The 16,240-nt window shown below is 37.7% G+C and overlaps 1 protein-coding gene across 8 annotated transcripts in view, besides 1 other annotated feature; it reads right to left on the bottom strand.

Annotated features, from left to right (window-relative positions):
* Positions 1 to 16,240, bottom strand: part of C7orf78 (chromosome 7 open reading frame 78) — a 58,845-nt gene that overhangs the window by 29,209 nt on the left and 13,396 nt on the right. For 2 of the 8 annotated variants that reach the window (NR_136263.1, XM_047419721.1), the window contains exon 1: positions 8,434 to 8,583. The exons of 3 other annotated variants lie outside the window; for them this stretch is intronic. Coding sequence is in view for 3 of the 5 variants with exons in the window: in XM_047419721.1 (XP_047275677.1) it covers positions 8,434 to 8,436 (3 nt within the window). In the remaining 2 variants the exon portion in view is untranslated. Of the gene's footprint in view, positions 1 to 8,433; positions 8,584 to 15,670; positions 15,735 to 16,240 lie in introns of those variants that run through there. 3 more of the 8 variants (NM_001386513.1, NM_001386514.1, NR_136262.1) reach the window with 2 other exon arrangements.
* Positions 15,430 to 16,058: an enhancer, noted in NCBI's record as "NANOG-H3K27ac-H3K4me1 hESC enhancer chr7:12536548-12537176 (GRCh37/hg19 assembly coordinates)". NCBI's record gives its function as "activates a minimal SCP1, AML or CMV promoter by ChIP-STARR-seq in naive H9 embryonic stem cells {active_cell/tissue: H9 hESC(naive)}" and the evidence as "EXISTENCE:reporter gene assay evidence [ECO:0000049][PMID:30033119]".

The raw sequence follows: 16,240 nt of genomic DNA, 5'->3' as shown, positions 1-16,240 counted from the left end.
GAGACTATTATTAACAACTATATGCATATAAAGTGAAAAACCAAGAGGAAATGGAAAAATTCCTGGAGGCATACAACCGACTAAAATTAAATCAGGAAGAATAGAAAACCTGAACAGACTAATAAGTAGTAATGTGGAATCTGTAATAAGAAGGCTCTCAGCAAAGAAAATACAAAGACTGATGGATTCACTGCTAAACTGTACTAAACATGTAAAGAACTAATACTAATCATCCTCAAACTATTCCAAAAAATTGAAGAAAACTAACTCATTCTACAAGATCAGCATTACTCTGATACAAAAGCCAGGAAAGGATACAAGAAAATAAGAAAACTACAGTAGTCCAATATTCCTGATGAACAGAGGTGCAAAAATCTGCAACAAAATGCTAGCAAATCAAATCCAACTGCACATCAAAAAGATATACACCATGATAAGGTGTGATTTATACCAGGGCTGAAAAGATGGTTCAACATGTGGAAGTCAGTAAACATAATACATCACATCAACAGAATGAAGGACAAAATTGATTTGATCATCTCAACAGATGCAGAAAAAGAATTTGATAAAATTCCACACCACTTTATGATAAAAACTCTCAATAAGCTAAGCATTGAAGGAACATATCTCAATATAATAAAAGCCATATATGACAAACCCACAGCTAACATGATACTAAATGGGGAAAAGCTGAAAGTCTCTTCTCTAAGAAGTGTAACAAGGCAAAAATACCCACTTTCACCACTATGATTCAACAAAATACTGGAAGTCTTAGCCAGAGAAATCACAAAGAAATAAAGCACATCTAAGTTGGAAAAGTGAAAGTCAAATTCTATTTTATATTTACATTTAGAAAAACCAAAAGTCTCCACTAAAAAAACTCTTAGAACTAATAAACAAATTCAGGCCAGGCGTGGTGGCTCACGCCTGTAATCCCAGCACTTTGGGAGGCCAAGGAGGGTGGATCATGAAGTCAGGAGATCGAGACCATCCTGGCTAACACGGTGAAACCCCGTCTCTACTGAAAATACAAAAAAAAAAAAAAAAAAAAAAAAAAAAAATTAGCCAGGTGTGGTGGTGGGCGCCTGTAGTCCCAGCTACTCGGGAGGCTGAGGCAGGAGAATGGTGTGAACCCGGGAAGCAGAGCTTGCAGTGAGCTGAGATCGTGCCACTGCACTCCAGCCTGGGCGACAGAGCAAGACTCCATCTTAAAAACAAAAAACAAAAAACAAAAACCCAAAAAAACCAAATTCAGTTACAAGACACAAAATAAACATACAAAATTAGTAGTGTTTCTATACACCAATAATGAAATAGCCAAAAAAGCAATCAAGAAGGCAATTTTATTTTCTATAGCTACAAAGAAATACCTAAGAATAAATTGAGCTAACGAGGTGAAAGATCTCTATAAGGAAAGCTACAAAACACTGATGAAAGAAATTGTAGATGACACAAATGGAAAAACATCCCATGCTTATGGATTAGAAGAATCAATATCATTAAAATGACCACACTAGCCAAAGCAATCTACAAAGTCAATGGAATCCCTATCATAATACCAATGACATTTTTCACAGAAATAGAAAAACAATCTTTCATAACCATAAAAGATCCCAAATTGCCAAAGTAATACTGAGCAAAAAGGACAAAGTTGTAAACATCACACTACCTATCTTCAAAACATATTACAAATCTAGAGTAATCAAAATAGCATGGTATTGGTATAAAAATTGATGCATATACCACAGGTACAGAATAGAGAATCCAGAAATAAACCCACATATTTACAGCTAACTTATCTTCCTCAAAGCCACCAAGAACCTACATTGGGGAACAAAAACCCTCTTCAATACATAGTTGGAAAACTGGATAACCACAGGCAGGAGAATGAAACTGGAACCCTATTTCTCACCATATGCAAAAATCAACTCCAGATGGATTAAAGACTTTAACATAAAACCTGAAATTATAAAACTACTACAAAAAACACAGGGAAAGCTCCTCAGGACATTGGTTTAGGCAAAGATTTTATGGCTAAAACCTCAAAAGCATAACTAACAAAAACAAAAATAGACAAATGGGACAATGTTCAACTAAAAGGCTCTGCACAGCAAAATAAACAAGAGTGATGGGATAATCTACAGAATAGAAGAGAATATGTGCAAACTAATCATCCAACAGAAAGCTAATATCCAACATATACAAGGAACTTAAACAACTCAGCAGCAAAAACCCCAAACAATCCTATTAAAAAGTGGACAAAGCACAAGAATAAACAGATCTCAAAAGAAGGCATACAAAAGACCAACAGATATATGAAAAATTGCTCTAAATCACTAATCACATAGAAATGCAAATCAAAACCACCACAGTTAGAATGGCTATTATCCAGGACAAAAAATAACATATGCTGGCAAGAGTATAGAAAAAAGGAAACTATGTATACACTGTTGGTGAGAATGTAAATTAGTACATTCTCACTACAGTATGGAGATTTCTCAAAAAAGTAAAAACAGAACTACCATAATATCCAGAAATCCCACTGTGGAATATTTTTCCAAAGGAAAAGAAGTTTGAGACAATCCTGGGCAACATGGTGAGACCCTGTCTCTTCAAAAAGTACAGAAATTAGCCAGGCATGGTGGCATGTGCCTGTCACCCCAGCTACTTGGGAGGCTGAGGTAGGAAGATCTCCTGAGTCTGGGGAGTTTGGGGCTGCAGTGAGCCATGATCCTGCCACTGCTGGATCGTGATCCAGCCTGGGTGACAGAGTAGGATCCTGTCTCAAGAAACCCCCCCACCCTCCCAAAATTAGCAAAGATATAAAATCAAGCTGTATCCACCAATTGAACACTGGATTAAAAAAAGTATATATACACATAATAGAATACCCGTCAACCATAAAATAAAGAATGAAATCCTGTCTTTTTTTTTTTTTTTTCCTTGAGATGGAGTTTTGGCCTTGTTGCCCAGGCTGGAGTGCAATGGCGTGGTCTCAGCTCACTGCAACCTCTGCCTCCCGGGTTCAAGTGATTCTCATGCCTCAGCCTCCAAAGTAGCTGGGATTACAGGCACCCGCCACCACGCCCGGCTAATTTTTGTCCTGATCTCAGGTGATCCACCTGCCTTGGCCTCCCAAAGTACTGGGATTACAGGCATGAGCCACTGCACCTGGCTGAAATCCTGATCTTTTGCAGTAACATGGATGGAGATAGAAGTCATTATGTTAAGCAAAATAAGCCGGCCACAGAAAGGCAAACACTGCATGTTCTCACTCATACGTGGGAGTTAAAAAACTTGATCACATGGACATAGAGAATAGAATGATGAATATCAGAGACTGGGAAGAGTGAGTTGGTGAGAGGGGGTTATGAGAATAAATTGGTTAATGGGTAAAAACATACTGTAGGATGGAAGAAATAAATTCTAATGTTTCATAGCAGATTAGGTTGACTATACTTAGCAACAATATTTAGTATATTTAATTAAAACAAGTTTACATGTTGACCCTTATGGGTTAATTAGAATAAATCTGTACAAGTTAAAATTGTATTAAGGACCAAATGGATAATGACCAGTACATACACAGGTTCTCTCAAAGCAGTAACTCCTAGTTCTATCGTAAGATCTTTCCAAAGCAAAAACCTAATTACTGAAATAATTCAAACATTCTAATCTGTAGAGAAAAGCAATTATCCTAGAGGGTCAAGCCATACAATGTCACACCTAAACATTAGTCTTAAGTCATTTTCCCACATTCATATAGTTCCAAACATGGTAAATATCCTACATATTGAAAAGTATTAAATGACCTAATATTCAAAATATCTTAGAAATACCATCCTTTAGTTCAGCAGTCCCCAATCTTTTTGGCACCAGTGAGTGATCTCGTGGGAGACAACTTTTCCACAGACTGAGGAAGGATGGGGAGATGGTTTCAGAATGATTCAAATGCATTACACTTACTGTGCACTTTATTTCTATTATTATTACATTGCAATGTATAATGAAATAATTATACAAGTCACCATAATGTAGAATTGGTGGGAGCCTTGAGCTTGTTTTCCTTCAACCAGACTGTCCCATCTGGGGGTGATGGGAGACAGTGACAGATCATCAGGCATTTGATTCTCATAAGGAGCACATGTGCAGTTCACAATAGGGTTCACGCTCCTATAAGACTCTAATGCCACCACTGATCTGACAGGAAGCAGAGCTCAGATGGTAATGTAAACAATGGGGAGTGGCTGTAAATACAGGTGAAGCTTTGCTCTCTGGCCCTCTGTTCACCTCCTGTTGTGTGGCCTGGTTTGGGTTGGAGGCCCCTGCTTTAGTTAACGTACCCTTAAATTTTGTGTTAACATTGGTTTCACCCTGATTTAGTCCATACATGCCAATATACAAACTATCAAAGTACATTGGAGCAACTCATGTTTGTATTTTTGCAATTCTTCCATGTGTATGATATAGAAATGAAAATAAAATTTTTCTTCTAATATAACCATGTTTTCAAATAGGTTAGTTTCCTTACATAGCATTTTCTCATATTTACCACATAAGCATCATGGACTGATTTTTTTTCCAATGAAATGTTATCTAGTGACTTCCTTAATGAGTACAACTTTTTAAAAAAAACTTAGAAACTTGAGCCATTTCTCAAAAATAAGCATATTTAGTTTTCAGTTTTAGTTACTTGTGGCTGCCTATAAAAGATCTCAAATGACTGAGCCCTAAAGCCAGATTCATTCCTATATATACTCAGCCTGTTGTCTGCAGGGAAGTCACAAGACTTTACCGAATGCCCTGTCACAAAACTAAATGACCCTCAAAAATTAACAAGAGTTTTATACTTAGAATTCTCAGTCAGTTCATGTCAGTTGGTTATCTTTTAATAGTTGTCATATAAAAAGGCTTACAGACCACACATTATTTCAAAGAAGCCGGAGAACGTAGCATGATGTAGACTGAGATTAAAATTAACTTTTGATAAAAGAAGAGAGTGAGTACTTTTTGTAACATTTTGTCTAACATAAAAATGCTTAACTTCCACAAAACCCACAAACTGAAAAGACGGTCTGGTAAATTAAAGATTTGTATAAACTATGCACAAAACCCATGGTATTTGGGAAAACTGGAAAGGTTTCTACAAGTAACAGTTTTAAATATATAACTTTGTTCTACTAGCAATTACACATAACATACATGCACTAATTAAAAATACACTACAACCTTGTCTGGAAATGCAGCTTAACATTTTCCAAATGGATTTTGCCCCACATTTACTATATAATGAGGCTGTTATTACTGCACAGGGACAGTTAGTGATACTGTCTAATTACCTTTAAACAAAGATATAGGGATTTTCTCCCTAAAAACAAGTTTTCAACATCAAAACCTACGCTTATAAAAATTTTAAAACTTTCAGCAGTCTAAATATGTCAAATGAAAACTTTACAAACTTCTCAAGTGCTCTCTACATTCCAGGTATGTCAACCTTGCTATCTAATGTAGAATCCATCAGAGATATTTCCGTCTCTCTCTCTCATCACTGGATGGCTTTTTCTTAGTGCTGGCCTCATGGCTGTCTGCTTTCTTCATTGCTCTCTCCATTGTGTTGTGGTTAATTACTGGCTTGTATCCATTCCTTTTCTAGCCTTTTTTTTTTTTTTTTTTTTGGTGGAGTCTCATTCTGTCACCAGGCTGGAGTGCAGTGGCACGATCTTGGCTCACTGCAACCTCCGCCTCCTGGGTTCAAGTGATTTCTCCTGCCTCAGACTCCCAAGTAGCTGGGACTACAGTTGTCTGCCACCATGCCCAGCTTTTTTTTTTTTTTTTGTATTTTTAGTAGAGACAGGGTTTCACCATGTTGGCCAGGATGATCTCGATCTCTTGACCTCCTGATCCGCCCGTCTCGGCCTCCCAAAGTGCTGGGATTACAGGGTGACACCGCGCCCGGCCCTTTTCTAGCTTTTTTTTGGCCCTTAATCTTTGGTTTTATTTGCTTCCTCATGTTGTCTTTGTTCAGCAAGAGATTTATTCAGCACTTTATGTGACTGTGGAATCTCCTTCACCAACCAAAAACATGTTCTTAAACTTGTTATACAACACTGTAGACTTTTCTACGATAACCTGACAAACTTGGAATTGCTGTATTTTTTCAGTGCAGTAGTCATCTCTGTCCCTTTTTATTTTATACTTTAAGTTCTAGGGTACATGTGCACAATGTGCAGGTTTGTTACATACGTATACATGTGCCATGTTGGTTTGCTGTACCTATCAACTCGACATTTACATTAGGTATTTCTCCTAATGCTATCCCTCCCCCAGCCTCCCACCCCATGACAGGCCCCAGCGTGTGATGTTCCCCACCCTGTGTCCATGTGTTCTCATTGTTGAACTCCCACGTATGAGTGAGAACATGCAGTGACTGGTTTTCTGTCCTTGTGATAGTTTGCTGAGAATGATGGTTTACACCTTCATCTATGTCCCTGCAAAGGACACGAACTCATCATTTTTTATGGCTGCATAGTATTTCATGGTGTATATGTGCCACATTTTCTCTATCCAGTCTATCACTGATGGACAAGTGGGTTGGTTCCAAGTCTTTGCATTGTGAATAGTGCCGTAATAAACATATGTGTGCATGTGTCTTTATAGTAGCATGATTTATAACCCTTTGGGTATATATCCAGTAATGGGATCACTGGGTCAAATGGTATTTCTAGCTCTAGATCCTTGAGGAATCGCCACGCTGTCTTCCACAATGGTTGAACTAATTTACACTCCCACCAACAGTGTAAAAGCATTCCTATTTTTCCACAACCTCTCCAGCATCTGTTGTTTCCTGACTTTTTAATGATCGCCATTCTAACTGGTGTGAGATGATATCTCATTGTGGTTTTGATAGTCATCTCTGTTTCTGAGCTTGTTGCATTGTGTTCTGAAATGAAGCAAATACATTCAAGGCCTCAATGTACTATGCCACATTTTAAAAGAAAATAAATTTGTTTCACTTCTCTATGATACCTTATTTTGTCCTTATATTATGAATTTATTATTACATATTATCCTTTTGAATAATATGTATGTAAAATTAAGCTTCTATTGTATATAAATCACAGAATCACATATGTCTTTGTAGTTCCCAGGCAGAAATAATCAACTGGAGAACTACTTGAATAACTGAAGACAATAATGAAATAGTGCACCATAGTTTTCCTTTTACATGGAAAAAACTAAAGATTAGAGAAATACAAAGCTATGAAATATATGACTGAGAAATTAAGGAAAAAATAAATTAGTAATATTCTCATTTAAAGATTTAATAGTAAATGTTGCTTTTATAAAACCTATAGGTTGTCCAAGATGTTGCACTGAAAATAAAAGAATGGCTTTATCTGCATTCAATAAGCAGAGTTATTCTCCACCTAAGATAGTATATTTATACCTCAAGGATCAGTTTAAATGCTGCCTCCAATGAAAGCATTTTCAAATCTCTGTATCAGGATTTATGTTTTCTTTTTCTGAATACAACAATGGAGTTCAAATCTTCATTTTAACTTGTACCTGGATAATTTATTTATGTCAACTCCTAATTAGATTATAAAATAATTAAGACAAGGATTTCTATCTCTACAAACTCTATGCATAGTTCTCCATGTTTTAGATTGAGCTGTGTGAAATTGTTATTCAACCATTTTCTACCTTACAAAAATGCAAATTTTATATATTTCAATCATAATAATTATGTTTGCCAAATTGTGAAAATTATATTCGCCTTTTGAAAACTGTATGTAAAACCCAAACATCTAATCATATTTTTTTCTAAATAAAGAAAAACTTCACCATAATAGTGACAATACAAAAAACATTCTTTTGAATTTCTTCCTCAAAGATTTTCTCCAGGAAAGTCACTAAATATTTTTGTTATCTGCTTTTAAATTTGCTAATAAAAAAAGGAATACATTTCTTTAGTTAGTAAATATATGCAAATTTAAAGTTCCTTTGCCTAGATATATGATTTGAATTTTATAACATTAAATTTGGGAGGTAGATAGGTAAAAAAATAGATACAGATACACTTGATACCTTAATAAGTTGTCAATATAAAAAAATGTAATATAATCTGCTATCGTGATCACAGTAAACTTTTTAGACCACATATTCATGCACATTTGTAAACTTGTATAAAGGGAAATTCAACACTGTCTTTTAGCAGGGCTTTCTCTTTCTTAATATACTTTTCATAATTTCTTATTTATTTATTATATCATGGATAAATGAATTGCTTTTCTCATAAGTGAATTCATCTTATATACCTTAACATATAAAACATATAGGCTCCAAAGAGCTAGTCAGTTTGACAAACAAGAAGAATTCAAAATAAAAACAAAAGGCAGGAGCATTCATTAGAAAACCAGTTACTTCACTTACCATTTGAAAGATAGCTTTTCATAAAAGTTTTAGAGTAATATATCTCAGCAAATCTTTTCTGTAAAGCCAAGAGAGACTAACAGTTTAACATTATCCTTTGCTTTACAAAAGAAGCTAAAGTATATTTAAGTTTTGCTCATCTGGGTTGCTAAGAAACCGAATTAATTTTCTACCAGACTCAAGTCAGAGTAGAAAAAGAAAAGTAAAACTAGGGCCTCTGGTTGTTGCCTAAAACATAGCAACAAAGCAATAACTCTCATGCTTTTATTTCCAAAGGTTGAAAATCAGCACAACAACAAGCTCAATACTCAGTAAATACACAGAAAGAGAGCACATGAATAATTGAACTCCAAATCAGTTTTACTAAGTCTTGAGAACTCACCTTTTGTAATTGCTTAGCAATCTGCTTTATAAAGTGATATGAGTTTGACATGTGATATATTATATGATTCTGAGAGGCAGTTTTCACCTTGGGCTTAAGAAGGTTGACTTAATTTCTTCAAAGGACATTTTTTAAAACAAATAAAGATTACAAGTTCTTTCTAATCTACGGCTCAACCTACAGATCTTAATTTTCTTTTTGTTTCCTTTTTCTTTTTTTCAGAAACACAGTCATGCTCTGTCGCCTAGGCTGGTCTCAAACACCTAGCTTCAAGCAATCCTTCCACCTCAGCCTCCCAAATTGATGGGATTACAGGTGTGAGCTACCACACTCAGCCTCTGCTACATAATTTATGTGGAAAATTCCTCCTTTTTATTAATCAAAACCTACACTCAATAGATACATATTTCTTGGTAAGTTAAAAAAACTTTTTAAAATAGAAAACTTCAAATATAATGGGTGCAGCACACCAACATGGCACATGTATACATGTGTAACAAACCTGCACGCTGTGCACATGTACCCTAAAACTTAAAGTATAATTAAAAAAAAAAAGAAAGAAAACTTCAAATATATACAAAAGTAGACATTGTGTAATGAATCCCCCATGTAACCATCATCCAGTTTAAAAAATTACCTTTTATGGCTAATCTTATTTCACACACTTGCCCCAAATATATCTCCAACTTTTTCCCCTTCCCATATTGTTTTGAAGCATCATAATATTTTATCAGTAATTATATCAGAATGTTACCCCCAAAAGATAAGAACACTTTTATTTTTAAAACATAAGCACCATTATGACATCTAAAAAATGAACATCAATTCATTGGTATTATTGAATATCCACAATTCAAGTTTCCAATTATCTCATAAATCCCATAAATATTTTTTTTCTTTTGTGTTTCCTTCTTTTATTTATTTGTTTATTATTATACTTTAAGTTTTAGGGTACATGTGCACATTGTGCAGCTTAGTTACATACATATACATGTGCCATGCTGGTGTGCTGCACCCACTAACTCGTCATCTAGCATTAGGTATATCTCCCAATGCTATCCCTCCCCCCTACCCCCACCCCACAACAGTCCCCAGAGTGTCATGTTCCCCTTCCTGTGTCCATGTGATCTCATTGTTCAATTCCCACCTATGAGTGAGAATATGCAGTGTTTGGTTTTTTGTTGTTGCGATAGTTTAGTGAGAATGATGACTTCCAATTTCATCCAGGTCCCTACAAAGGACATGAACTCATCATTTTTTATGGCTGCATAGTATTCCATGGTGTATATGTGCCACATTTTCTTAATCCAGTCTATCATTCTTGGACATTTGGGTTGGTTCCAAGTCTTTGCTATTGTGAATGATGCCGCAATAAACATACGTGTGCATGTGTCTTTATAGCAGCATGATTTATAGTCCTTTGGGTATATACCCAGTAATGGGATGGCTGGGTCAAATGGTATTTCCAGTTCTAGATCCCTGAGGAATCACCACACCAACTTCTACAATGGTTGAACTAGTTTACAGTCCCACCAACAATGTAAAAGTGTTCCTATTTCTCCACATCCTCTCCAGCACCTGTTGTTTCCTGACTTTTTAATGATTGCCATTCTAACTGGTGTGAGATGGTATCTCATTGTGGTTTTGATTTGCATTTCTCTGATGGCCAGTGACGGTGAGCATTTTTTCATGTGTTTTTTGGCTGCATAAATGTCTTCTTTTGAGAAGTGTCTGTTCATGTCCCTCACCCACTTTTTGATGGGGTTGTTTGTTTTTTTCTTGTAAATTTGTTTGAGTTCATTGTAGATTCTGGATATTAGCCCTTTGTCAGATGAGTAGGTTGCAAAAATTTTCTCCCATTTTGTAGGTTGCCTGTTCACTCTGATGGTAGTTTCTTTTGCTGTGCAGAAGCTCTTTAGTTTAATTAGATCCCATTTGTCAATTTTGGCTTTGGTTGCCATTGCTTTTGGTGTTTTAGACATGAAGTCCTTGCCCATGCCTATGTCCTGAATGGTAATGCCTAGGTTTTCTTCTAGGGTTTTTATGGTTTTAGGTCTAACGTTTAAGTCTTTAATCCATCTTGAATTGATTTTTGTATAAGGTGTAAGGAAGGGATCCAGTTTCAGCTTTCTACATATGGCTAGCCAGTTTTCCCAGCACCATTTATTAAATAGGGAATCCTTTCCCCATTGCTTGTTTTTCTCAGGTTTGTCAAAGATCAGATAGTTGTAGATATGCGGCGTTATTTCTGAGGGCTCTGTTCTGTTCCATTGATCTATATCTCTGTTTTGGTACCAGTACCATGCTGTTTTGGTTACTGTAGCCTTGTAGTATAGTTTGAAGTCAGGTAGTGTGATGCCTCCAGCTTTGTTCTTTTGGCTTAGGATTGACTTGGCAATGTGGGCTCTTTTTTGGTTCCATATGAACTTTAAAGTAGTTTTTTCCAATTCTGTGAATAAAGGCATTGGTAGCTTGATGGGGATGGCATTGAATCTGTAAATTACCTTGGGCAGTATGGCCATTTTCACGATATTGATTCTTCCTACCCATGAGCATGGAATGTTCTTCCATTTGTTTGTATCCTCTTTTATTTCCTTGAGCAGTGGTTTGTAGTTCTCCTTGAAGAGGTCCTTCACATCCCTTGTAAGTTGGATTCCTAGGTATTTTATTCTCTTTGAAGCAATTGTGAATGGGATTCCACTCATGATTTAGCTCTCTGTTTGTCTGTTGTTGGTGTATAGGAATGCTTGTGATTTTTGCACATTGATTTTGTATCCTGAGACTTTGCTGAAGTTGCTTATCAGCTTAAGGAGATTTTGGGCTGAGACAATGGGGTTTTCTAGATATACAATCATGTCATCTGCAAACAGGGACAATTTGATTTCCTCTTTTCCTAATTGAATACCCTTTATTTCCTTCTCCTGCCTAATTGCCCTGGCCAGAACTTCCAACACTATGTTGAATAGGAGTGGTGAGAGAGGACATCCCTGTCTTGTGCCAGTTTTCAAAGGGAATGCTTCCAGTTTTTGCCCATTCAGTATGATATTGGCTGTGGGTTTGTCATAGATAGCTCTTATTATTTTGAAATATGTCCCATCAATACCTAATTTATTGAGAGTTTTTAGCATGAAGTGTTGTTGAATTTTGTCAAAGGCCTTTTCTGCATCTATTGAGATAACCATGTGGTTTTTGTCTTTGGCTCTGTTTATATGCTGGATTACATTTATTGATTTGCGTATATTCAACCAGCCTTGCATCCCAGGGATGAAGCCCACTTGATCATGGTGGATAAGCTTTTTGATGTGCTGCTGGATTCAGTTTGCCAGTATTTTATTGAGGATTTTTGCATCAATGTTCATCAAGGCTATTGGTCTAAAATTCTCTTTTTTGGTTGTGTCTCTGCCCGGCTTTGGTATCAGAATGATGCTGGCCTCATAAAATGAGTTGGGGAGGATTCCCTCTTTTTCTATTGACTGGAATAGTTTCAGAAGGAATTGTACCAATTCCTCCTTGTACCTCTGGTAGAATTCGGCTGTGAATCCATCTGGTCCTGGACTCTTTTTGGTTGGTAAGCTATTGATTATTGCCACAATTTCAGATCCTGTTATTGGTCTATTCAGAGATTCAACTTCTTCCTGGTTTAGTCTTGGGAGAGTGTATGTGTCAAGGAATTTATCCATTTCTTCTAGATTTTCTAGTTTATTTGCGTAGAGGTGTTTGTAGTATTCTCTGATGGTAGTTTGTATTTCTGTGGGATTGGTGGTTATATCCCCTTTATCATTTTTTATTGCGTCTATTTGATTCTTCTCTCTTTTTTTCTTTACTAGTCTTGCTAGCGGTCTATCAATTTTGTTGATCATTTCAAAAAACAAGCTCCTGGATTCATTAATTTTTTGAAGGGTTTCTTGTGTCTCTATTTCCTTCAGTTCTGCCTGATTTTAGTTATTTCTTGCCTTCTGCTAGCTTTTGAATGTGTTTGCTCTTGCTTTTCTAGTTCTTTTAATTGTGATGTTAGGGTGTCAATTTTGGATCTTTCCTGCTTTCTCTTGTGGGCATTTAGTGCTATAAATTTCCCTCTACACACTGCTTTGAATGCGTCCCAGAGATTCTGGTATGTTGTGTCTTTGTTCTCGTTGGTTTCAAAGAACATGTTTATTTCTGCCTTCATTTCGTTATGTACCCAGTAGTCATTCAGGAGCAGGTTGTTCAGTTTCCATGTAGATGAGCGGTTTTGAGTGAGATTCTTAATACTGAGTTCTAGTTTGATTGCACTGTGGTCTGAGAGATAGTTTGTTATAATTTCTGTTCTTTTACATTTGTTGAGGAGAGCTTTACTTCCAAGTATGTGGTCAATTTTGGAATAGGTGTGGTGTGGTGCTGAAGAAAATGTATATTCTGTTGATTTGGGGTGGAGAGTTCTGTAGATGTCTATTAGGTCCACTTGGTGCAGAGCTGAGTTCAATTCCTGGGTATCCTTGTTGACTTTCTGTTTCCTTGATCTGTCTAATGTTGACAGTGGGGTGTTAAAGTCTCCCATTATTAATGTGTGGGAGTCTAAGTCTCTTTGTAGGTCACTCAGGACTTGCTTTATGAATCTGGGTGCTCCTGTATTGGGTGCATATATATTTAGGATAGTTAGCTCTTCTTGTTGAATTGATCCCTTTACCATTATGTAATGGCCTTCTTTGTCTCTTTTGATCTTTGTTGGTTTAAAGTCTGTTTTATCAGAGACTAGGATTGCAACCCCTGCCTTTTTTTGTTTTCCATTTGCTTGGTAGATCTTCCTCCATCCTTTTATTTTGAGCCTATGTGTGTCTCTGCACGTGAGTGTGCTGAATACAGCACACTGATGGGTCTTGACTCTTTATCCAATTTGCCAGTCTGTGTCTTTTAATTGGAGCATTTAGTCCATTTACATTTAAAGTTAATAGTGTTATGTGTGAATTTGATCCTGTCATTATGATGTTAGCTGGTGATTTTGCTCGTTAGTTGATGCAGTTTCTTCCTAGTCTCTATGGTTGTTACATTTTGGCATGATTTTGCAGTGGCTGGTACCGGTTGTTCCTTTCCATGTTTAGCGCTTCCTTCAGGAGCTCTTTTAGGGCAGGCCTGGTGGTGACAAAATCTCTCAGCATTTGCTTGTCTGTAAAGTGTTTTATTTCTCCTTCACTTATGAAGCTTAGTTTGGCTGGAAATGAAATTCTGGGTTGAAAATTCTTTTCTTTAAGAATGTTGAATATTGGCCCCCACTCTCTTCTGGCTTGTAGGGTTTCTGCCGAGAGATCCTCTGTTAGTCTGATGGGCTTCCCTTTGAGGGTAACCCGACCTTTCTCTCTGGCTGCCCTTAACATTTTTTCCTTCATTTCAACTTTGGTGAATCTGACAATTATGTGTCTTGGAGTTGCTCTTCTCGAGGAGTATCTTTGCGGCGTTCTCTGTATTTCCTGAATCTGAACGTTGGCCTGCCTTGCTAGATTGGGGAAATTCTCCTGGATAATATCCTGCAGAGTGTTTTCCAACTCGGTTCCATTCTCCTGGTCACTTTCAGGTACACCAATCAGACGTAGATTTGGTCTTTTCACATAGTCCCATATTTCTTGGAGGCTTTGCTCGTTTCTTTTTATTCTTTTTTCTCTAAACTTTCCTTCTCCCTTCATTTCATTGATTTCATCTTCCATTGCTGATACCCTTTCTTCCAGTTGATCGCATCGGCTCCTGAGGCTTCTGCATTCTTCACGTAGTTCTCGAGCCTTGGTTTTCAGCTCCATCAGCTCCTTTAAGCACTTCTCTGTATTGGTTATTCTAGTTATACATTCTTCTAAATTTTTTTCAAAGTTTTCAACTTCTTTGCCTTTGGTTTGAATGTCCACCCGTAGCTCAGAGTAATTTGATCGTCCGAAGCCTTCTTCTCTCAGCTCGTCAAAGTCATTCTCCATCCAGCTTTGTTCCGTTGCTGGTGAGGAGCTGCGTTCCTTTGGAGGAGGAGAGGCGCTCTGCTTTTTAGAGTTTCCAGTTTTTCTGTTCTGTTTTTTCCCCATCTTTGTGGTTTTATCTGCTTTTGGTCTTTGATGATGGTGATGTACAGATGGGTTTTTGGTGTGGATGTCCTTTCTGTTTGTTAGTTTTCCTTCTAACAGACAGGACCCTCAGCTGCAGGTCTGTTGGAGTACCCTGCAGTGTGAGGTGTCAGTGTGCCCCTGCTGGAGGGTGCCTCCCAGTTAGGCTGCTCAGGGGTCAGGGGTCAGGGACCCACTTGAGGAGGCAGTCTGCCCGTTCTCAGATCTCCAGCTGCGTGCTGGGAGAACCACTGCTCTCTTCAAAGCTGTCAGACAGGGGCATTTAAGTCTGCAGAGGTTACTGCTGTCTTTTTGTTTGTCTGTGCCCTGCCCCCAGAGGTGGAGCCTACAGAGGCAGGCAGGCCTCCTTGAGCTGTGGTGGGCTCCACCCAGTTCGAGCTTCCCAGCTGCTTTGTTTACCTAATCAAGCCTGGGCAATGGTGGGCGCCCCTCCCCCAGCCTCGCTGCCGCCTTGCAGTTTGATCTCAGACTGCTGTGCTAGCAATCAGCGAGACTCCGTGGGGTAGGACCCTCCGAGCCGGGTGCAGGGTATAATCTCATGGTGCACCGTTTTTTAAGCCCGTGGGAAAAGCGCAGTATTCGAGTGGGAGTGACCCGATTTTCCCGATTCTCCAGGTGCCGTCCGTCACCCCTTTCTTTGATTAGGAAAGGGAACTCCCTGACCCCTTGCGCTTCCCGAGTGAGGCAATGCCTCGCCCTGCTTCTGCTCGCGCACGGTGTGCGCACTCACTGACCTGTGCCCACTGTCTGGCACTCTCTAGTGAGATGAACCCGGTACCTTAGATGGAAATGCAGAAATCACCCGTCTTCTGCGTCGCTCAGGCTGGGAGCTGTAGACCGGAGCTGTTCCTATTCGGCCATCTTGGCTCCTCCCCCCGCCATAAATAATTTTGATTTTTTTCTTTACAGTTTATTTGATTCGGGCTAGTTACTTACTCTTCTTTGGTCCAAAATCTCCTATGACTTGGGTATTAACTTCTCTTCTAATATTTTTCTAACGGAATATAAAATTTCCTAGACAAAGATCCACAATGGCTGGAGTCTTTCTTTTAACTGTTCATTTTATTTAAAGTGAAAGTTTGCCACCAGGTGGCAGTAAATTACTTATAATTTTGTCCTAGTTTATAAACTAAGAAGCCAAAATTTTTTCTGTATTATTTTCCCTGATGTTCAATTTTAAGGTGTTTTTATTTCTAATGAAAACGGCAGTAAAGTTGAATTGACTAAATCTCTTATAGTTTTGGAAATAGAATTAACCTATCTTTATGCTATCTGATTTATGCCTCATTGTTTTTTGCATAGAGATACATATGGTTCTTTATCAAAAGCATATATACAAATACCTACT

The sequence above is a fragment of the Homo sapiens genome, chromosome 7 (assembly GCF_000001405.40).
Source record: "Homo sapiens chromosome 7, GRCh38.p14 Primary Assembly".
NCBI classification, from domain to species: Eukaryota; Metazoa; Chordata; class Mammalia; order Primates; family Hominidae; genus Homo; species Homo sapiens.
The sequence above is the reverse complement of the archived record's forward strand: the minus strand, read 5'-3'. Positions and strand labels throughout refer to the sequence as shown.